The 23,811-nt window shown below is 43.4% G+C and overlaps 1 protein-coding gene across 7 annotated transcripts in view, besides 3 other annotated features; it reads left to right on the forward strand.

Annotated features, from left to right (window-relative positions):
• Nucleotides 1-23,811, forward strand: part of THSD4 (thrombospondin type 1 domain containing 4) — a 686,490-nt gene that overhangs the window by 256,262 nt on the left and 406,417 nt on the right. The gene's annotated exons all lie outside the window — the stretch shown is intronic.
• Nucleotides 10,053-10,560: an enhancer, noted in NCBI's record as "NANOG-H3K27ac-H3K4me1 hESC enhancer chr15:71655547-71656054 (GRCh37/hg19 assembly coordinates)". NCBI's record gives its function as "activates a minimal SCP1, AML or CMV promoter by ChIP-STARR-seq in primed H9 embryonic stem cells {active_cell/tissue: H9 hESC(primed)}" and the evidence as "EXISTENCE:reporter gene assay evidence [ECO:0000049][PMID:30033119]".
• Nucleotides 10,561-11,068: an enhancer, noted in NCBI's record as "NANOG-H3K27ac hESC enhancer chr15:71656055-71656562 (GRCh37/hg19 assembly coordinates)". NCBI's record gives its function as "activates a minimal SCP1, AML or CMV promoter by ChIP-STARR-seq in naive and primed H9 embryonic stem cells {active_cell/tissue: H9 hESC(naive and primed)}" and the evidence as "EXISTENCE:reporter gene assay evidence [ECO:0000049][PMID:30033119]".
• Nucleotides 11,069-11,576: an enhancer, noted in NCBI's record as "H3K27ac-H3K4me1 hESC enhancer chr15:71656563-71657070 (GRCh37/hg19 assembly coordinates)". NCBI's record gives its function as "activates a minimal SCP1, AML or CMV promoter by ChIP-STARR-seq in naive H9 embryonic stem cells {active_cell/tissue: H9 hESC(naive)}" and the evidence as "EXISTENCE:reporter gene assay evidence [ECO:0000049][PMID:30033119]".

Below are 23,811 nucleotides of genomic sequence, written 5' to 3' on the forward strand. Positions count from 1 at the left end.
GACATTGACACATGAAGCAGAAGGAGTGCGTCTACACTTTAAGCCTACTTTATTTTCATTCAGGGATGTCACTCCGAGAACAGCAGTGTGGGATGAGGAACATAAAATCTGTATGTGATACAACATCTTTAGCTGGTTTGGGCCAAGTGTAATTGTTTGATAAACAAGGCATGTGGATAAAAATTGTGTCCACTTTTTATTAGCAAACACTTAATCTGATTGCAAAAGAAACCATCATGTGATTCAGCTTTTTCACAGTTTGCTTTACTAGAGCAAGTCAGAGCAGATGAGAAAGAACACCTAAACTGTGGTTTCCTTTAAAGTACTTCAAAGGTGTTTTCTGAGTCTTTATAGGATAAGTTCTTACATCTGAGGTCCCTGACCCAGAAGGAGTCATTGATGAGCTTCCAGGGATCCAGGACACCTTTTATATTGTATACAAAATGTTTTCTCTGTGAACACATTCCCATGTGCAGCTTTTCTAGAGAAGGCCCATGCTTTTATACAATTCTAAACAGAGTCTGTTAGCCCAAAGAAAGAGGAGCCAGGATTTGTAGAATGCACTGTCCCGACTATTTCAATGCCGGGATGATAAAATCCCAGCTTCTTTGCATGGGAAGCATGGACTTAAGAATCAGACTTGGTGTTCAAATGCTGCCTCTGCCATTTGCTGTTCGTGTGACCTCTGAGCTTTGGTTCCCTCCTCTCTAAGTGTGAGAAGTAATATGGGAACAGATAAGGTTATTACACGTATGAGTAAAGAGAGGAGATGAGATTGCCAGGTGATTGAGGAAGGAAGACACTGAAGATAGAACCCTGAGGAACATCAGAATTCCAGGGGCTGTCTGGAAAAGGAGCCACCTGGGTGTGGTAGCTCATGCCCATAATCCCAGCTACCCAGGAGGCCGGGGTGGGAGGATTGCTTGAGCCCAAGAGTTCCAGACCAGCCTAGGCAACAGTCAGACCTCATCTCTAAAAGAGGTTTAAAAATTTAGCCAGATGTGGTGGCATTTACCTGTAGTCCCTGCTATTGGGAAGCTGAGGCAGGAGGATCACTTGAGTCTAGGAGGTTGAGGCTGCAGTGAGCCATGCGCCTGCCACTGTACTCCAGCCTGATCGAGACCTTGTGTTTCTATAAAGAAAAGAAAAGGGAGCTGATAAAGGAGACTGAGGGGAGAGGCCAGGGAGCTCCGAGGAAAACCAGAAGGGAAAAGTGTCCAGAAGAGAGAGTGTTAAGCAGCAGGGATCACAGTGGCTTTAGACTGATTTACTTAGGTAAGGACTGAGAAGCCATCTTTGTTTTTTAATTGTCAACCCAGGTGGAGACTTTTCCAAATTGTGGCCAAGAAAGTATCTCATGACCTAAAAAGACTCTTCCTTTATTAATTTAACATAAATTTGTTGAATGCCCTTTATGTGCCAAACAAAGCCATTGAAGGAGCTTGGTTCATGAGGTCTCACCTTTAAACACTTTGGGCTCTAACATTATTTCTAGCCCTGCAGTTGCTAATAAGCATAGAATTACACCCAATCAGAAAATAGTTAGGCCTTCTATGTGGTTTTGGGCATGCCACATGACCTCTTCAGGTTAAAGCGTGAAGACTAGATTATCCTAAATTTCCTAATCCAGAATAAATCCTACATCACTGTCCAGACAAGATGTGGGCTGAGAGTGGTGGCCAATAAATACCTTCCATATACAAAACTCTGGTTATGCTTAGAACATTTCATCTTGTATGATGTCCCTCCAGTAAACTTCACACTCCTCTTGTTCTTCCTTGAATTTCCTGTGCCTGTACTTACGTTTAGTGAATGGACAAATCTATTGCATCTGAGGATTATCCCTCCTAACCCCAGGGAATCCTGTTGTTTTAACATGGAAGCATTACAAATGTTTCGTAAAACAAAAATAACATTTGCCTAATGCTGACCGTGAGTCAAGCCCTATGTTAGAGTCTTTCGTATCCATCATGTTGTTTGGGCTGAAAGTCTTCTTTCTGGAGATTTCTGTGTACTGCAGATCAAATCATGTTTCAAATAAAGGTTTTCCTGGAGCAAAACCACATGCAATAAAAGACTGATATAACACGCTTATTGCATAAGGTGAGTGTTAATCCTGGCCTGCTTACACCCAGCTCATCAAGGAGCTCTTCTTTATTTGAAATTGGCTTCCAAACCTGATGCCTTTCAGAGCAAGACATGCTTTCCTCCAGCTAGTTTAAAGGCTGTGTGTGTCATGTGTGTGTGCATGCATGTGCATGTGTGTGCGTGCAGACACTTGTTCCAAAGAGAGGCTCCAAAAGAATGTCTCTCAGTTTGTTGCATTTCCCTATCTACCCAGGAAGTTGTTTCTTGTTTTCATGACAAGTGTGGACCTGTAGCCCTGAGTATTATTGGATTGTGTGTTGTTCAGTGGTGCCTAGAGGAAGGATAATGAGGAAAAGAGGACTGTCCCGGGTGCTGGTCAGTTAGGAGAGGAAAGAGGCTGCAGGCTTGGCCCCTGCTCAGCGGAGAACATGTTCTTGAGCAGTCAGGCTGGGTCTGTGGAGAGCTCAATTAATGGATGCAAGGGGCCCAAAGAGCGTGCTGCTGGCTTGACTGCGTTTGAATCAGCAGGACCCAGGGTCAGGGATGAAGTTTTTTCTTCACAGGTAAAAAATTGAGTCTTAGAGTAACTCTTTTCCAAGTGTTCTAATTTAGGTTTTTCTTATTTTATTTTATTTTATTTTTGAGATGGAGTCTCACTTTGTTGCCCAGGCTGGAGGGCAGTGGCACAATCTTGGCTCACTGCAACCTCTGCCGCCCAGGTTTCAGCGATTCTGCTGCCTCAACCTCCTGAGTAGCTGGGACTACAGGCGTGCGTCACCACACCTGGCTAATTTTTGTATTTTTAGTAGAGACAGGGTTTCACCGTGTTGCCCAAACTGGTCTCGAACTCCTGACCCCAAGGGATCTGCCTACCTCAGTATCCCAAAGTGCTGAGCTTACAGGAGTGAGCCACCATGCCTGGCCCTAATTTACTTTCTTCTAATTAGTCTAGTGAGTTTCTTCTCCAGAAGATTCTAATTAGTTTATTCTCCCACTGAGCTGATGGCTACTCTCTGCACACGGTTGCTTCTGGGGCCCGAAGCCCTTCCAGGAGCACCTAGCCTGAGGTGGCCATGCAGTCATTCCCTGTCTAGTCCCCCTGTGCTCTCACACTTATGACACACTTATTACAGTCCAACATGGCAGGAGGGCATTTTCTCTTGTTTATTGCCTGTCTTCAGCCTCAGTGGAATGGAAGCTCTTTGAGGACTGGGACCTACTGACTTCTTTCTCTGCTGTATCCCCAGAGTCTAGAAAAGATACTTGGTACATAGTAGGTGCTAAATCAAAATTTGTTGAATGAGTGAAGAGAAGAATGGAGAGAAGGAAGGAAAGGGAGAAAAGGAGGGGAGGAAAGAGAAAGAGAGAGTGAAGGAAGGCAGGGAGGGAGGAGGCTTTAGCAGGGGTACTAACTGTTTTATTAAGCAAGCTGGGGCTGAGGAGACCAAAATCCTCAGGGCTCATGCAGGGTGCTGCCCTCTCTCATGGTGGTCCATCTATTTCCTGAAGCCCTGCCTTAGGTCAGATGGGGGTCTTTCATAGCTGGGACCTGGATCTGCTGTCTTCTCCCTCCCCCGACTTTCTTCACACTCACAGCCCCTTCTCTACAGGGAATTTTATTCCTAGAGCACCAGTAGCACTGTATGGCAGGAAGACACCAAACGACAGCGCACAGGGTGATCACTGAGTCCAGCCCAAGGGGTAGCAGAGAGAGACCATGGCTGCGCACATCAAACGTGTGAGAGATGACATTGGCCTTGTGGATTTGGGGTAAGAAGAGCATATCAATGTCAGTGCTCCCAGCATTAGTAGGTACACAGGGCATGGCAGCTGCTCCACTTGTGCCCTGTGGCTTGTGGGCCAAGAAAACTACTTCCAGGCATGCCCTAGGTGATGGAGAGAATACAAAGGAATGTCCTTCTGCCTCCTGCCTTCTTGCCTTGCATCCTAGCTGGCCCCACGGCTTGTGATAGTCTTTAGATTTGGTGGCCACTGCATGGACAAGGAGCCTACTGTAGGACATCTGCACTGCAGGGACTCTAAACTCGGTTATGAGAGGGTGTCATTCCCTGCTCTAGACCCCATCGCTGAGGTGTTGCTGAGAGGGCTGGGCTGGGAGGCCTGCGTTTCCTTGGCCACCACTCCTGTCCCTGGTGGGAGCTGACAGGCTCACTCTGCAGTGTGTATTTCAGCAAGTCCACCCAGTGGGACTCCCTGCAGACTGGCTTCTCTAAGAGGGCGTGGGCTGCAGCAGCCAAGAGCCATGGGTGCGGCTGCCAGGTTTCGAGAAAGTATTTGAGGCACTGGGGAGGCTATGCAGAGCCCCACGCCCTTGCTCCCTTTCCCCTCCTGGCTCTCCCGCCTGCAGTTTTAATAGGGGCAGGGCCTGGATTAAGTGTCTTGGGCAGAATCCAGCAACCGGAGTCCTTTCTGGCAGAGGAAGGGGAGTGCACATCAGGATCACATTCCAGATACGGGGACAGAGATTAGGGAAGGATAAAGGAAAGAGAGTGAGAAAATTAAATGTGGCGAGAAATGGATTTTCCCCTTCTGTCTGAAAATAATTGAGTTATATTATTTTGCAAAATAATCTGTTTTGAGGTTTTTCTAGTTTCCCTTCACACTACCAACTGCCTTACTTATTCAAAGAGGGGGAAAAAGCATTCATGCTGGCCTTGTGCTGCGCGATTCCTACCAAATACCTCAAACTTGGGTGAGGTTCTGAGGTGGCTTTGCTGTCTGTGAAGACTGTGGGACTCAGCTATAGACATGAGAACTGGAGGCTCAGCCTCCTTGGGAAGGGGCGGCCAGATCCCATTTTCAGGTCTTAGCTGGCTTCTCCTTCTTTTCCAGACAAGTGCCTGTAGCACGGTCTTCCTGACCTTCCCCTTCTCTGGGCTTTGAAGGGCTTAGTCACATTTGGCTGGAGAGCCTCAAAGGTGTCTCTCTCACCCCAGGGTACGGCATCGGCCTCCCTCCCCTCCTTCCAAGCTGTTCCTTAACATTCTGCCCTGGCCTCTTTTTTTGATGGTTTAATTGAGAGTTCCTATGTCAGGGTTTCCCATATGGCAAAACCTCTGTATAATCAGTCCAGGGACTATTTAGTGACTGTTAGTAACTGTATTTTAATTGTAGAGTGTCATAAGATAGGACTTGGGGCAGCCATCCGACAGAAATCCCATTAGATAGGGTCTCCATTTAGAATCATTTGATAGGACTGACCTGTCCTCATAGTGTGACAGACAGGAACAAGTGTGGGGCTTTCAAGAGCTTCAGCTCTGGGGCCAGATTTCATAAATTCATATTCTGGCTAAGCCACTTATCAACAGCATGGCCTTGGACAAGACTCCACTTCACTGTGCATGGGTTTCCCCATCTGTAAAATGGAGGCAAAAATAGGATTTACCTCTGGTTGCTGTGAGAATTAAATGAAGTAATACACGTAAAGTGCCTAGAATAGTGCCTGCTCAATTAGTATCACTTAACATCATCAGCACCGCTGTCATCATCATCTTTCTTTACTATCTGGGTGGCCCAGTGCAAGTGACTTAGCTTCTCTGAACCTTGGCTTCCTTCTGTGTAAAATGGGGATGATACTAATGGGGGTTGCCAAGAAGATTAAGAGAGGAATGTGAAGACACTCAGCTTAGGGCCTGACACCCAGTGGAAATGGCAAAAATGAGTTCCTCTGTCCCTCCCCAGCACACCCTGCCTAAGCATAGCCCACCCTGTCAGCTATTTAGGTAGAGGATTCATTTTACCATAGCAAAGCTGGCTGTGTAATGGCAAGGATAGTCCTTGTTACTAATTTTAATTTGGTACAAGTTAACGTAATCCTCAGTCTAAAGAGTCAACACCTTTTCCCACCCTCCTGTCCTCCCCTTCGCATCTTCTCTTCTGCTATGAATTACTCAGTCACAAGAACCTTGTACACACCCAGGACAGTGTGAGGAGGCGTAGGGGCACAGAAGATGTGTAAGACACTCTTTTTGTGGTCAGGCTTAACGTGCTTAAAACTCTTTTCTGACCCCCATTGCATCATTCGCATCACTGTCCTCTTATTAATCTTGAGTTATCTTTGATTCTCCCTCTATTGATATAGTACCTTCTATTTAGCAAAAACATTACTTACGTTATCTCATTGGTTTTCACAGTAACCCTGGTAGGTAGAAGCTGTATTCGTACCATTTTACAGATGAGCAAACTGAGGCTTAGTGAAGTTAAGAGCCTTCCCAAAGGTCACTCAGTAATAAGCCAAGCTGGGATTGAAATCTGGGTATGTGGCTGGGTGTGGTGGCTCACGCCCGTAATCCCAGCACTTTGGGAGGGCGAGGTGGGTAGATTGCTTGAGTTCAAGAGTTTGAGAACAGCCTGGGCAACATGAGAAAACCCCAATCTCTACCAAAAATATGAAAAATTAGCCAGGTGTGATGGTGTGCACCTGTAGTCTCAGCTACTCAGAAGGCTGAGGTGAAAGGATCGCTTGGGCCTGGGAGGGAGAGGTTGCAGTGAGCCAAGATCTTGCCACTGCACTCCAGCCTGAGATCATGCCGGTTCACTCAAGCCTGGGTGACAGAGCAAGACCCTGTCTCAAAAACAAGCAAACAAAAAAAACAGAGAAAGAAAAAGAGAAAGATGTGAGGATTCATCTTCTGTCCTTCCCACCTTGTTATCTTGTGTCTGCTGCTTCCTCTGTGTTTTAGCTGTCTATTGCTGTATAACAGACCACCCCAAAATTGAGTAGCTTAAAGAACAGTTTATTATCTTTCGTGGTTCTGGAGGTTGACTGCACTCAGCTGGGAGATTCTTGCTTAGTCTTTTCTGCAGCTGTACTCAGATGGTGGCTGAGGCTGGATTCATCCGAAGGCTTCTTGGCTCACTTATCTGGCACGTGGGGAAGAGCTGGGGGCTGATGGAGAATCTCTCCCTTCCTATGTGAGGAAGCTCGTGTTGTGTTGGCTTCCTCACAACATGGTGGTCTTAGAGTAGTCAAATTTCCTACATGGCAGCCAACTTTCCCCAGAACAAGCATTCTAAAAGATCCAGTTGGAAGCTGCAGGGTTTCTTATGACCTAGCTTTAGAATCTCAGATCTTCACTTCTAGCACATTTTACTGGTCAAGAAAGTTACTAAGGCCAATCCAGATTCAACACGATGGGTTACTCGGCTCTATCTCTTCATATGAGAAGCAGCGTATGCATACAGTGAGGGAAGAAATTGATGGTGGCCATCTTTATAGGATAAAGACCCATAAATATTTTTGCTTAAAAAAATCCCTCTTAGCCATTCTAGTCTACTACTGCCACCTTAGCAGGGTCCAGTTCTTTTGCGCATCATTTTGGGTTCACTACGGTACTCGGACTCTCTCCCCGGCATCCAATCCAATTGTGTATTTTGCTAGCATATGACTCCTCCTCAGATGCCTTTTTCATCCACAGTTCATGTATTCATAGATCCAAGAAGGGCTTTAGAAATTATCTAATCTCACCTTTTCACTTTACAAGGGAGCATATTCAAAATTGTGTGGTTAATTTTTAATAGAGTTTCAGGTCAGTCAGCACTGAAGGTGCCTTCCTTGAGCCAGAAGCATAAACAGAAAGAAGACCCTAAAGAGCCTATGGTTTAACAGGGGAGATGGATATCTTAGAGATAATTTTAATGGAAGTTTGCATATGATCCCATTGAAGCATAGTAGAGAGGTATACCATACAATTTGGGTTTCAGGGAAGATTTCCTGGAGAATGTGACACTTGAGCTGAATCACCAAGTATACAGAGAAGAGTTATCTAGGCAAAGAAAAGTGGATAGAGTGTCCTGAAAGAAAAAGGAGAAGAGGTGAGCAGGCAAGGGTGGCACATGCTGTCTGGTGTTTGTAGAGCATGGAGGGCCCTGGGTATCCTACTGAGGGATCTGGACTTGATTCTGTAGGTAATGGGGAGCCACTGAAGGAGAAGACCATACATGTCTTTTAACATTTATTGGGAAAGAGCTTAAAAGTGACTATTAGCTGACCTACTTCTCTGTGCCCAGATTCTGCTGTGATCATGTCACTTTGGATGGATTTTAAAGTGCTACCTCCCAAAAAAGGACAGTCACCCAAAAGAAAAGAGAACAAAAATGCTTCACATACAGTTCTTAAAGGTGCAAATACACACAACTGAACTGTATGAAAAGATGCTCAGCCTTGTTCATTATGAGGAAGGTGTAACCTAAAGCTATTGTCACCCCTCAGAGTGGCAAAGATAAAAAATGCTAATATCACCTGTGATCGTTGAAGATATGGGCTTCCTCATACATTTCCAATGGAAGTGTAATTTGGGGAACTTCTCTGTGGAAAGCAATTTGGTAATAACCATCAAAATTATAAATGCACTTTTTTTTGACCTAGCAATTCTACCTTTTACCTACAGCTATTTCACTATTTGGAGGCAGAAATAAATGCTCATGATCATCCATTGTAGTCTTGTTTGTCATCACAAAAGATTGGAAACAGTATCAATGCTATGGGAGAAAAAACGGGTCAAACAAATTATATTTCATCCATACAAAGGGATATGAAATCTTGAAAACAGAAAATGAGACTTTGTGTATGTGCTGATCTGGACGAGTCACCAAAATAAAGTGTTGAGTGAACACCAAAAATGTGTAAAAAGAGGCAGACAAATAAATATACATACATATTTGGTCAAATATGCATAAAATATATCTGGAAGGAAACATAAGAAATTTATATTATTCAAAATAATGAGTGGAACTGGGCGTGGTGGCTAATGCCTATAATCCCAGCACTTGGGAGGCCAAGGCAGGTAGATCACTTGAGGTCAGGAGTTTGAGACCAGCCTGGCCAACATGGCGAAACCCCATCTCTACTAAAAATACAAAATAATTAGCTGGGCTTGGTGGTGCATGCCTGTAATCCCAGCTACTTGGGAGGCTGAGGCAGAAGAATCGCTTGAACCTGGGAGGTGGAGGTTGCAGTGAGCCAAGATGGTGCTACTGCACTCCAGCCTGGTTGACACAGTGAGACTAAGTCTCAAAAAAAATTATAATGAGTGGCTGGGGTACAGAAGTAGGAGGAGAATCTCACTCTTTACTCCTTTGTACCTTTTGAATTTTGAACCATATGAATCTTAGTTTTCAGAAATAAAAATGAGACAAAACAAAGGCAAGATTGTAGAACAAATCATTACCACTACAAGCTTCTTTAAATCTGGGGTAGAATAAATATTCCATGGATTGCCTTTAATTTTATAGTCAGTTGAGAGAGAAAAGCCTAGCCTCATCTTCCTAGATTAAAGACTGTGAAAATAAAATTGGAAGCAAATATGACAAAATGTTAAAGTGAGTTAAGGTAAGCACATACATCGATCATACTGCTTTTTAGTATTCTTGAACTATTTTGCAATAAAAAAGAAAAATTGCAATAAATAAATTAATTTCCATGCATGGTCCCGGTGCTATGCTCTGGAGTTACTGCCGACAGTGAGTTCCGTTTTCGTCCGCACGCAGCACTCCCACCCTAATTTCATCCTCCCCCTCCCTCCACACATATGGAGATCCACTTTATTTCATTGTGTTTTATATTCTTCTCTATGTATACTCACTGCTTCCCTTCACCAAATTATAAATGCTGTAAAGCAGGGGTGTCTAATCTTGGCTTCCCTGGGCCACATTGGAAGAATTGTGAATTAGTAAAATTCACTAACACGAATGATAGCTGATGAGCTAAAAAAAAAAAAAAAAAAAAATCACAAAAGAAATCTCGTAATGTTTTAAGAAAGCTCTTGAATTTGTGTTGGGCCACATTCAAAGCCATCCTGGGCTGCATGTGGCCTGCGGGCGGCAGGTGGACAAGCTTGCTGTAAAGGGTACAGAGTGTGTCTAATTCAGAAGTCAGCAAACTTCTTCTGTAAAGGGCCAGCTATTGACTATTTTAGACTGTAGGCCAGTCTGTGTCACAACTACCCAACTCTGCTGTGGTCACACAAAAGCAGCCATAGATAGTACATAAATGAATGGATATGGCTGCATTGCAATAAAAATTTAAAAAAACAAAGTAGTAAACCAGATTGGGCCCAAGGGCCATAGTTTGCCAACCTTGGTCTAATTGGCTGTTATATTCCCTTTTTGCTTTCTCACCTTCTCAACTTTCCCTAGAAGCCTGCTCACTGCTCCTGGTGTGCATGTGTGTACGCGTGTGTGTGTTTGTGATCCCTGGGCAGGGGAGACCTGAAAAGGGAAGGAATGAGCATACTGTGTTTCTAGAATAGAGTAACCCAGGCTGATAGTGTCTCAGGCAGCAGTGGAAAATGTTAAAGAATATTAAGAACAAAAAGCGAAATCATGACTCCTTTTCAAAGACAAAATGAACATGCGTCAAAGATTTTATTTAACTCATTAATTAATGAGGGAACCAGTATGATGTTACAACTGGTTCAAAGGAGAGAACGGACACATATAGAGGTCATCAGGTATGCGGAAAGGAATTTGCTTAGGATAATTGGCCTCTTGGGGACCAGGCAAGGTTTCCATTTGCATCTCTGCTGACAAAATTCATTTGCATTACTATCAGTTTTCTACAGTTTATAGAGTTGTAAAGTAACTCAGTTAAAGTAATGAAAGGCGCAGACGTATAAAATGAGATGGTGCAGAAAGGGTTCCTTGAACAATGCCTCATTATTCCCCACAAAAGATATTCAGAAATCTTTTCTTTACTCTTTTCCAAGTTGCTCCTAATTTTATCTGATAGAAATAGTATTCATTAAAGTTGTGTTACTCAAGGCGATAGAAGATGGTTGAACTCTAGACAGGAGGTTTTCTGATAGAGCCTGTGGGAATACAAGGTGAAAAGAGACGCCTTCACCAGAAGTAACCTAGTTGAGGGCTGAGGTTTGGCCAGTGGAAGTGGGGTGGGGTGGACAATTTCAGAGGCTGTTACAGAAAAGGCAGCATGATGGCGTGGAATCACATGGGATGGGAGTCAGCAACCCTGGGAGCCCCAGCCTGCTACCCATCGTTCTTGCAACACTGGGCAAGTCTGGACAAGTTTGCTCATCTGCAGTTGGGCGGTAAGATGAACTGCCTCAGAGGCCATTGTATCAAATGAGAAGGCACATATTTCATTACTTAGCACTTTGCCTGGTGATAGCTGTTTCTAATACAGATTAATTTCCCACCTTATCTGGGGTACTTTAGCTAGACATTAGCTATGTGCCCTTGAGCAAGTTACTTCAGCTGTCTTCACCTGTTCAAATGCGGAAAATGATACCTCCCTCACAGAGTAACTAAAGAAAAAACTAGCAGGTCGTGGTTCTAGCAAATACTAATTTCCCCTTAGGGGTTCAAGAGGGCTTCATAGACGAGGTGACCTGTGTGTCAATTCCTAATGGGTGAGTAGCTGTTTTGTACATCAACGTTTCCAGATCTCATATTTCGAATCATTAGTACGCACATAGTTTAGTTTTATTTTATTTTGTCACCTACTCTTCAAACACTTGTGTTTTCTTTTTAGCCTTTGCATAGCGCTGAGCTTTAAAGCGTGTCTTGGTAAGGGGCACACGTTGTGGTCAAAGTAAATGGGAAACAGTATGAAATTGCTGGAAGCTGATTCTGGGGGTGGGTTACAAATGGAACTTGTATGCATGTGAATTAATGGTTTTTTAAAGCTCTGTTAAATTGCAGTTGTTTGAGACAGCCCTAATCACAAATGTTTTGACCCATTGCTTCCACCTAAACAATAAAATATCCTAAGAATTCTATTGTTTTGGCACCTAAAACTGCATCTCCCTGAGTTTCTCTTTTCCAGAGATGATACAAAAATCATTTATCAGACCCTTGGAAATGATACTCACTTGTAGTTCACGAAAATATATCCACTGCCCCCCCCATTGTGTGTGTGTGTGTGTGTGTGTGTGTGTGTGTGTATGAGAGAGAGAAAGACAGAAAAGAAGAGAGAGGGCAAGCCAATGACCCATGTGATTGGGTGTGTAGTGACTAAAGGACTTTGCATGAGGATTTCCAGGTGAAGCAAAGAAAGCTGTAGGTACTAACTTTCTCAGCTTGCCTTGTGGTTGTCAGTCTCTACCCTTCCTGTCACTGTTGCTGATGTAACAGTAACAAAGCCACCAAAATGGTAACCCAGGCATGACTCCAGAGTAGGAGCCTAACCCCAGGGCACCCCTCCACTCCATCCTTCTACTCTGTCTTTCTGCCTGCTTGAGATGCTCTCATGTATTTCCTTGTCTCCCAAAAATAGCCATAAACAGCACAATCTGCTGACGCTTTGTAAAAATACAGTGGGGCGGTGTGGGGGACAAGGAAGAGGTTTTATGAAATGAAAGGAGGTCTGTTCTGTTCTCTTGCTTCCTTGGGAGGCCTTATGGTATGATAGCATGCTGAAGTGGGTTCTGTTTGGATTGGAGATGAATCTTGTTAAGTCCAACCCACCAACTGAACAGGAAACTCATGGGATGTAGCTACAAGCAACTTTCCTCCCTCTCTCTCTCATTGTCCCCTTAAAAGTAATTTAGTAGGAGAAGTTATTTCACTGTTCTTGGTTGAAAACTCAGGTAGTCTCATGACTTTTTTGATCACTCTCAAGTCATCAAGACTCCTAGGACCACTGGAAGTTGCCAACACAGTCACAGTCGCAAGTCAGTTACTAAAAGTATCCATCTAGCCTGTGTAGTGATCAAAACTTGCTTTAAAGTTAAATTACCACTCCCCTCTCTAAACTAGAACTTCTCTCAGGTGAGAAGAGGTGGAGGTTCCTTCTTGCTGTCCTTTCACACATCCTCCCTCCTACTTGTGTCCCAGGTTTTTTTGTTTTGTTTTGTTTTTGGTTTTGTTTAGATGGAGTCTCACTCTGTTGCCCAGGCTGGAGTGCAGTGGCGTGATCTCGGCTCACTGCAAGCTCTGCCTCCCAGGTTCATGCCATTCTCCTGCCTCAGCCTCCCCAGCAGCTGGGACTACAGGCACCCGCCTCCATGCCCGGCTAATTTTTTTGTATTTTTAGTACAGACGGGGTTTCACCATGTTAGCCAGGATGGTCTCGATCTCCCGTCCTCATGATCCGCCCGTCTTGGCCTCCCAAAGTGCTGGGAAACAGCTCCCGGCTGTCCAAGATTTTTTACTCTGCTGGGTATAGGGAGGGAAGAAGAGCTGCTGCTGCTTGATGAGTACCATTGTGATATCTCCACTGGATTGGCCTGGAAGGTCTTTAGAGGTGACTCCTCCTCTCATGGGCTCTTTTGAGAGTTCTTCTGAGGCTCCTCCTGGGAACATTGAACTATATTTCCCATGACAACACATGTTGCATTTTCCTCTGGCTGTTTTTCCCAATGGCCCGCACTATATGGGCCCTCTCAGTTGGGGTCAGTCACTTTCTCATGGAATCCTCTTATGTGGGATTTCAAATCAATGCAGTCTGGCTCTCTCCCCAGTCTGCCTTCTCTTCAGCCTATGAAAAACACTCCCACATTATTTGCTCCGATCATCTCCAAGAGAACAGTACTCAACAGGCACCTGTCCTTTGCTCATACCACTGGACACCCAATCTTTTAGATTTCCAGGTGGGAATTAGACCCAGTACCCTGTGTCCCAACAATTGTAGGGAGACCAAATCGAACCCTCTAATGGTCTCAGTGAAGCGCCCTTCTCATACTGTGAAGGAGAGGACCCTGACCCTTCTCCTTGGCAGAGGGAAATGCCAGCACAGCTCTCTCCAAAGAGCTCCTCTTTCAAGCTCCATTTTCTCAAAACATATTCCATCTTCTGTGTGAACAAGGGATTCAAGAGTCGTTAGTGAGTTTTGGCTCATGAACTTTGAAATGTTTGTATAGCGGTCCTTCAAAATGTAGCTTCCACTATTTTTAGAACACAGGAACAACCCATTGTGTTATAACACCCAGTTACACAAGGTTGACCTTGATGATGTCATCGCATTTGTTGAACAATTACCTCATGCTAGGCTCTCTTTTTTTTTTTTATTTTAAAAAAATATTTTATTGTTAAATTACAGAGTCTAAACTGATTACCACTATGCCATTCTTTTTTTTATTATTATTATACTTGAAGTTCTAGGGTAGATGTGCACAACGTGCAGGTTTGTTACATATGTATACATGTGCCATGGTGGTGTGCTGCGCACATTAACTCGTCATTTACATTAGGTATATCTCCTAATGCTATCCCTCCCCACCCCACGACAGGCCCCGGTGTGTGATGTTCCCCTTCCTGTGTCCAAGTGTTCTCATTGTTCAATTCCCACCTATGAGTGAGAACATGCAGTGTTTGGTTTTCTGTCCTTGTGATAGTTTGCTGAGAATGATGGTTTCCAGCTTCATCCATGTCCCTACAAAGGACATGAACTTATCCTTTTTTGTGGCTGCATAGGATTCCATGGTGTGTATGTGCCACATTTTCTTAATCCAGTCTATCATTGATGGACATTTGGGTTGGTTCCAAGTCTTTGCTATTGTGAACAGTGCTGCAATAAACATATGTGGGCATGTGTCTTTATAGCAGCATGATTGATAATGCTTTGGCTATATACACAGTAATGGGATGGCTGGGTCAAATGGTATTTCTAGTTTTAGATCCTTGAGGAATCACCACACTGTCTTCCACAATGGTTGAATTAGTTTACAGTCCCACCAACAGTGTAAAAGTGTTTCTATTTCTCCACATCCTCTCCAGCACCTGTTGTTTTCTGACTTTTTAATGATCACCATTCTAACTGGTGTGAGATGGTATCTCATTGTGGTTTTGATTTGCATTTCTCTGATGGCCAGTGATGATGAGCATTTTTTCATGTGTCTTTTGGCTGCATAAATGTCTTCTTTTGAGAAGTGTCTGTTCATATCCTTCGCCCACTTTTTGATGGGGTTGTTTGTTTTTTTCTTGTAAATTTGTTTGAGTTCTTTGTGGATTCTGGATATTAGCCCTTTGTCAGATGAGTAGATTGCAAAAATTTTCTCCCATTCTGTAGGTTGCCTGTTCACTCTGATGGTTGTTTCTTTTGCTGTGCAGAAGCTCTTTAGTTGAATTAGATCCCATTTGTCAGTTTTGGCTTTTGTTGCCATTGCTTTTGGTGTTTTAGACATGAAGTCCTTGCCCATGCCTATGTCCTGAATGTAATTGCCTAGGTTTTCTTCTAGGGTTTTTATGGTTTTAGGTCTAACATTTAAGTCTTGAATCCATCTTGAATTAATTTTTGTATAAGGTGTAAGGAAGGGATCCAGTTTCAGCTTTCCACATATGGCTAGCCAGTTTTCCCAGCACCATTTATTAAATAGGGAATCCTTTCCCCATTTCTTGTTTTTGTCAGGTTTGTCAAAGATCAGATGGTTGTAGGTGTGTGGTATTATTTCTGAGGGCTGTGTTCTGTTCCATTGGTCTATATCTCTGTTTTGGTACCAGTACCATGCTGTTTTGGTTACTGCAGCCTTGTAGTATAGTTTGAAGTCAGGTAGTGTGATGCCTCCAGCTTTGTTCTTTTGGCTTAGGATTGTCTTGGCTATGTGCGCTCTTTTTTGGTTCCATATGAACTTTAAAGTAGTTTTTTCCAATTCTGTGAAGAAAGTCATTGGTAGCTTGATGGGGATGGCACTGAGTCTATAAATTACCTTGGGCAGTATGGCCATTTTCACAATATTGATTCTTCCTATCCAGGAGCATGGAATGTTCTTCCATTTGTTTGTGTCCTCTTTTATTTTGTTGAGCAGTGGTTTGTAGTTCTCCTTGAAGAGGTCCTTCACATCCCTTGTAAGTTGGATTCCTAGGTATTTTATTCTTTTTGAAGCAATTGTGAATGGGAGTTCACTCATGATTTGGCTCTCTGTCTGTTATTGGTGTATAAGAATGCTTGTGATTTTTGCACATTGATTTTGTATCCTAAGACTTTGCTGAAGTTGCTTATCAGCTTAAGGAGATTTTGGGCTGTGACAATGGGGTTTTCTAAATATACAATCATGTCATCTGCAAACAGGAACAATTTGACTTCCTCTTTTCCTAATTCAATACCCTTTATTTCTTTCTCCTGCCTGATTGCCCTGGCCAGAACTTCCAACACTATGTTGAATAGGAGTGGTGAGAGAGGGCATCCCTGTCTTGTGCCAGTTTTCAAAGGGAAAGCTTCCAGTTTTTGCCCATTCAGTCTGATATTGGCTGTGGGATTGTCATGGATAGCTCTTATTATTTTGAGATACGTCCCATCAATACCGAATTTATTGAGAGTTTTTAGCATGAAGGGCTGTTGAATTTTGTCAAAGGCCTTTTCTGCATCTATTGAGATAATCATGTGGTTTTTGTCGTTGGTTCTGTTTATATGCTGGATTATGTTTATTGATTTGTGTATGTTGAACCAGCCTTGCATCCCAGGGATGAAGCCCACTTGATCATGGTGGATAAGCTTTTTGATGTGCTGCTGGATTTGGTTTGCCAGTATTTTATTGAGGATTTTTGCATCAATGTTCATCAAGGATATTGGTCTAAAATTCTCTTTTTGTTGTGTCTCTGTCAGGCTTTGGTATCGGGATGATGCTGGCCTCATAAAATGAGTTAGGGAGGATTCCCTCTTTTTCTATTGATTGGAATAGTTTCAGAAGGAATGGTACCAGTTCCTCCTTGTACCTCTGGTAGAATTCGGCTGTGAATCCGTCTGGTCCTGGAGTTTTTTTTGGTTAGTAGGCTATTACTTAGTGCCTCAATTTCAGAGCTTGTTATTGGTCTATTTAGGGATTCAACTTCTTCCTGGTTTAGTCTTGTGAGGGTGTATGTGTCGAGGAATTTATCCATTTCTTCTAGATTTTCTAGTTTTTTTGTGTAGAGGTGTTTATAGTGTTCTGTGGTGGTAGTTTGTATTTCTGTGGGATCAGCGGTGATATCCCCCTTTATCATTTTTCATTGTGTCTATTTGATTCTTCTCTCTTTTCTTCTTTATTAGTATTGCTAGTGGTCTATCAATTTTGTTGATCTTTTCAAAAAACCAGCTCCTGGATTCATTGATTTTTGAAGGGTTTTTTATGTCTCTATCTCCTTCAGTTCTGCTCTGATCTTAGTTATTTCTTGCCTTCTGCTAGCTTTTGAATGTGTTTGCTCTTGCTTCTCTAGTTCTTTTAATTGTGATGTTAGGGTGTCAATTTTAGATCTTTCCTCCTTTCTCTTGTGGGCATTTAGTGCTATAAATTTCCCTCTACATACTGCTTTAAATGTGTCCCAGAGATTTTGGTACGTTGTGTCTTTGTTCTCATTGGTTTCAAAGAATATCTTTATTTCTGTCTTCATTTCATTATGTACCCAGTAGTCATTCAGGAGCAGGTTGTTCAGTTTCCATGTAGTTGAGCGGTTTTGAGTGAGTTTCTTAATCCTGAGTTCTGGTTTGATTGCACTGTGGTCTGACAGACAGTTTGTTATAATTTCTGTTCTTTTACATTTGCTGAGGAGTGCTTTACTTCAACTATGTGGTCAATTTTAGAATAAGTGCAATGTGGTGCTGAGAAGAATGTATATTCTGTTGATTTGGGGTGGAGAGTTCTGTAGATGTCTATTAGGTCCACTTGGTGCAGAGCTGAGTTCAATTCCTGGATATCCTTGTTAACTTTGTCTCGTCGATCTGTCTGATGTTGACAGTGGGGTGTTAAAGTCTCCCATTATTATTGTGTGGGAGTCTAAGTCTCTTTGTAAGTCTCTAAGGACTTGCTTTATGAATCTGGTTGCTCCTGTATTGGGTGCATATATATTTAGGGTAGTTAGCTCTTCTTGTTGAATTGATCCCTTTACCATTATGTAATGGCCTTCTTTGTCTCTTTTGATCTTTGTGGTTTAAAGTCTGTTTTATCAGAGACTAGGATTGCAACCCCTGCCTTTTTTTGTTTTCCATTTGCTTGGTAGATCTTCCTCCATCCCTTTATTTTGAGCCTATGTGTGTCTTAGCACATGAGATGGGTCTCCTGAATACAGCACACTGATGGGTCTTGACTCTTTATCCAGTTTGCCAGTTTGTGTCTTTTAATTGTAGCATTTAGCCCATTTACATTTAAGGTTAATATTGTTATGTATGAATTTGATCCTGTCATTATGATGTTAGCTGGTTATTTTGCTCGTTAGTTGATGCAGTTTCTTCCTAGCATCGATGGTCTTTACATTTTGGCATGTTTTTGCAGTGGCTGGTGCTGGTTGTTCCTTTCCATGTTTAGTGCTTCCTTCAGGAGCTCTTTTAGGGCAGGCCTGGTGGTGACAAAATCTCTCAGCATTTGCTTGTCTGTAAAGGATTTTATTTCTCCTTGGCTTATGAAGCTTAGTTTGGCTGGATATGAAATTCTAGGTTGAAAATTCTTTTCTTTAAGAATGTTGAATATGGACCCCCACTGACTTCTGGCTTGTAGAGTTTCTGCCAAGAGATCCACTGTTAGTCTGATGGGCTTCCCTTTGTGGGTAAACCGACCTTTCTCTCTGGCTGCCCTTAACATTTTTTCCTTCCTTTCAACTTTGGTGAATCTGACAATTATGTGTCTTGGAGTTGCTCTTCTCGAGGAGTATCTTTGTGGCATTCTCTGTATTTCCTGAATTTGAATGTTGGCCTGCCTTGCTAGGTTGGGGAAGTTCTTCTGGATAATATACTGCAGAGTGTTTTCCAACTTGGTTCCATTCTCCCCATCACTTTCAGGTACACCAGTCAGATGTATATCTGGTCTTTTCACATAGTCCCATATTTCTTGGAGGCTTTGTTCATTTCTTTTTACTCTTTTTTCTCTAAACTTCTCTTCTCGCTTCATTTCATTCATTTGATCTTCAGTCACTGATAACCTTTCTTCCAGTTGATCGAATTGGTTACTGAAGCTTGTGCATTCGTCACGTAGTTCTTGTGCCATGGTTTTCAGCTCCATCAGGTCATTTAAGGACTTCTCTGCACTGGTTATTCTAGTTAGCCATTTGTCTAATCTTTTTTCAAGGTTTTTAGCTTCTTTGTAATGGGTTCGAACTTCCTTCTTTAGTTCAGAGAAGTTTGATCGTCTGAAGCCTTCTTCTCTCAACTTGTCAAAGTCATTCTCCATCCAGCTTTGTTCCGTTGCTGGCGAGGAGCTGCTTTCCTTTGGAGGGGGAGAGGCACTCTGATTTTTAGAAGTTTCAGCTTTTCTGCTCTGTTTTTTCCCCATCTTTGTGGTTTCATCTACTTTTGGTCTTTGATGATGGTGACGTACAGATGGGGTTTTGGTGTGGATGTCCTTTCTGTTTGTTAGTTTTCCTTCTAACAGTCAGTACCCTCAGCTGCAGGTCTGTTGGAGTTTGCTGGATGTCCACTGCAGACCCTGTTTGCCTGGGTATCAGCAGTGGAGGCTGCAAAACAGCAAATATTGCTGAACAGCAAATGTTGCTGCCTGATTGTTCCTCTGGAAGCTTCGTCTCAGAGGGGTACCTGGCCGTGTAAGGTCAGTGTGCCCCTACCGGGGGGTGCCTCCCAGTTAGGCTACTCGGGGGTCAGGGACCCACTTGAGGGGGCAGTCTGCCCGTTCTCACATCTCAAACTCCGTACTAGGAGAACCACTACTCTCTTGAAAGCTGTCAGACAGGGACATTTAAGTCTGCAGAGGTTTCTGCCGCCTTTTGTTCAGCTATGCCCTGCCTGCAGAGGTGGAGTCTACAGAGGCAGGCAGGCCTCCTTGAGCTGCGGTGGGCTCCACCCAGTTCCAGCTTCCTGGCTGCTTTGTTTACCTACTCAAGCCTCAGCAATGGCGGGCGCCCCTCCCGCAGGCTAGGCCCTCTTTCTTGTTATCTCTTTTCAATCTTGCAACAACCTCCTTTCAGAGAGAAGAAAATCGAGAGATTCTAAGACTGGTCTAAAAATATTCAGATAGCATTAGGGTTGGGGTTGGAAACAGTTTATCTAAATAGTTCATAATTTCAGTCTTAACTGCCTCTTTAATCAAAAAGTTATTTAGAAGAATGCCTATAACTGCAAGTGGATGGATTAAAAATAATTCTTAATAATTTCTAGTTTTATTGCTTTTTGGGTCAGAAATATAGCCCTGAATAAGTCTGAACTTTTAAAATGTAGTGAATTTTGTATTATGGTCTAATACACAGGCAGTTTTAGTGGCTGTTTCATGAGTCTTTGAAAAGACTGTTATTTCCTTTCTTTATTGGGTGCCGAGTTCTCTGGCTTTCTCCTAACTTGAACTTACATGACTCCTATTTTAGGGTCTAATACACAGGATATCCCGGTGGCTGAAACAAAGACATTTTGGAGGTGCTTATGACTCAAATAGCAAATCATCATTGAAACACATTGACATACCTCAAACCCAACTATATTTTTGGGATCTTTTCTGGATCCATAAGATCTGGTGGTGAAGCTTTCCTTCAGCTTCTAAAAGACAGCTTCGAATGGTGGTCAGGAAACTCGAGTTCTTGGCCCTACTCTGCCACTGACTTGCTCCTGTCCAAATTGCCTCTCCATGAGCTACAAGGGTCCAGGCAGATGTTGTCAAAGTCCATTCTGCTTCCAAAATCTGTGACTCTGTGTGGTGGGACTCTGGCTTTTCATCCTGAAGGTCACAGGCAGTTCACGAAAGACAGTGTTCCCGTTGAGAGTGAGTGAGTGTTTCTTGGAGAAAGCATTATATACACACAAATGCTGCATGATGGTCCCTGAGAATTAAAAATCATTACTTTAAAAATTCTGAAACTGCTTGTCTGCAATCAGTTGTAAAGTCACTAGGACAACCCTTCCCTCAGGATGTTATGTGAACACTGGACTGAATTCAACTACAAAATAAGTCAAGAGGGTAGACCTGGAATGATATGCAAAATGCTGGCTTGTATTTTCTTGTGTGGAACAGCTGAGCATGGGCTGGGTGATGTTTGTCCTCTTCCAAAGTGATGCAAACACATGTTTCTAGTGCTCAGTACTACAGTCCTTCTGCCCTGATGTCCTTGACTGTGGAGTGGTAGAAACTCTCAAATGGGGGATGCAGAGGGAAGTGTACCTTTCTTTGCAAAGCACTCAGTTCATTTTCTTCATTTCAAATGTACCATGAAGTCGATATCTTCATTATTTCACTCATTTCCCATCTGTCGAGCACTCAGTATGCATCAGGGTGTGCTATCTTCTGGGGAGACAGAGCTGGATAAGAGAGAGATCAGCAAGTGAGTATCTGTTACTTCTTATCCCATCTAAAGTGGCACATGAGCTAACCACATGCTATATATGAATAATTGGATGCAATAAGAAGGGGATGTGGTAAGAAAATGTTCATCTAAATATCCAAATCAGAAAGTGGTGGTTCTAGGGGAAGGAGTGAAGTTCTACCAGTTCTGCTGTTAGAAAGGCTGCCTCTACCTCATCAGAGCTCTGGGTCTCCCTCCAGCTTCTTCAGAGGCTGCATTGAGGAATGAATCTTGAGGGTGAGCAATGGCCCTGACCTTCAGACTTTGAATTCTAGGAAAGAAGTTGCTTGCAGGAATGACCTCAGCCTAATCACTTGAAATTAAGGCAGCAAAGGAAAACGCCCAATCTCTGTTTATAAATGTGCAAAACAATTTGCTAGACAAGGCTATTACTCAAGCAAGAGACTATTCACAGATGGTGGCTTGGGCTGGGTAGACACAAAGGCTAGGACAGCAGACCATTAATCACCATGCACAGACGTGCTGCTTGGTAAAAGTGAGCCTCCCAGACTAAGAAAGGGTGTACTGTAGGGGCTTAATGTGGAATCACCTGTCCTGCGGGTATTTAGAGAAATCCTCACAGCCACAGAAATCCCCAGAAGCCCACAGAAGGGATTTCAGACAAATCCACATCTCCTCACACTCCCTTTTCCCCATTTCCCCCACTTCCTAAATGTAGAACAATTCCAGGATGTTGCAAATGTATGCATTCACTTAATAAAAACTGCATGTCTGCCAGGGACCGAGCACCACGAGGATTGTGTACACTAAAGATGATCTTTTCATCCAAGTATGTTACAGTTTACATGGAGAGATGAGGCAGAGTATGTGCATGTGGACACATATGTGTGCGAAAGGGAAATAGCCCAAGACAGTGATGTTTTCTCCCTCTTCCTGACAACTTCTCTCCATCTTCATCTCAACCTCATTGGTGCTTTCCTCTGAGCAGCCTTTTCTGACCTTCCAAGACCGAGTTGGATGCTCTGGTTCTGTGTTCTCATCGCTGCCTATGCTTCTCCCCTCCCATCACTTTCACACTGAATTGTAATTGCCTGTTCAGTTGTTTGGGTCACTCTTCCCCAGCCCCCTACTGTGTCTTTTTTGGGAGCAGGGACTTTGCCTGTCTGTGTTACTCCTGGCACAATACATGTTTGTTGACAGATTCCACAAGCAGTATTGATGATGTCCTCTGTGAGTGGAGTTGGAAGGGGTCATTTGAAGCCCAGGAGAAGGGGTTCCAGCCAGCCTTGAAAGATAAGTTAAGAACAAGAGGAGAGAGGATGTGGTTTTATCTAGTGCAGTGGTTCTCAAAGTGCGGTCCCTGGACCAAAAGCATCAGCATCACCTGGGAACTTGTTAGGAATGCAAATTCGGGCCTCACTCCCAAATTTGCTTTCACATTCCATTGCATTCCACACCTACTAAATCAGAGGCTCTGGAGGAGGACCCTGGCAATCTGGGTTTTAATAAACCCTCCAGGTGATTATGGTGAACTTCAAAGTTTGAGAACAACTGACCTAGCACTTTTCTACTATGACTCTGTATTATTTATCACTGAGACCAATGTACTGTCACATACCGACTAGGCCCTACCTGCGACTTTGTGATTATGCATAACAAATAGAGTTTGTCTCCTGCTACTTGCAGTTGATTAATGGCGAGAGTTCTTATGCAAGAGATTCTGAGACCATGACTGTGCCCAAGGTGAAAGAGTGCCAGAATTGATTAGTAATGTCTGTCATGGGTGCAGGAGGAGGAGTACTCACATCCTTTGCTCACACCTCTTGCATGTGCTGTCTCTGACTGGAGCCAATCCTGAATGTATGTAGGACAAGATGAAGGCAGTGCTCAGGTCTGAGGGCCTGGCTGCAGGCTCTCTTCTGATCTTCATGCTCTGAATTTTTAGGACCCAGCCTCCTTCCTTATGCCCTAGTTTAGATGTCCTGTTTCTTGACACTGTTCTTACCATGATTGAGTCTCCCACACCAGTCCCATACTCACCTCCTTCATACCACCACTCTTCTGGGTCTTGATTGATAGTTTGCCCTGTCACTGTTTGGCCAGACCACCAACCCTTGTTCTGACTTGCAACCTTTTTCTGGCCATTCTGTGGTTGGGTCAGATCATTTGGATCTCCCCTGGGACACACATAATTCTGATCTGCCCTGAGAAAAACAAATCTTTCCCCCTTGCTCCCATTTGCAAACTCTTTGCCCAAACCAGGCCAACTTATGTTCACAGACTCCTAGTCTCTGCTGTCTCCTCAACCTGTGCTAGTTATCCAAGAAAGGGATCCCAGGTGATGGGACCAGTATAAGCAAAGGCATGAGGTCAGAATATGAAAAATATGATTAGGTCTGTAAGTAGATCAGTCTGGCTGGGTTAAGAACTCATGCCGAGACATATTGGATTGAAACATCAGCAAACAATTGGTAAGATCAGATTTTGAGGGTCTCAATCCCCCAGCTCTGGAGCTTAAACTTCATGCCCTAGGAGGGAGCTACCAAAGGCTCTGGGTTGGGGAAGGTGGTGACACCTTAAGGAGATGCTGTACGA

Source organism: Homo sapiens, chromosome 15 (genome assembly GCF_000001405.40).
Source record: "Homo sapiens chromosome 15, GRCh38.p14 Primary Assembly".
NCBI lineage: Eukaryota > Metazoa > Chordata > Mammalia > Primates > Hominidae > Homo > Homo sapiens.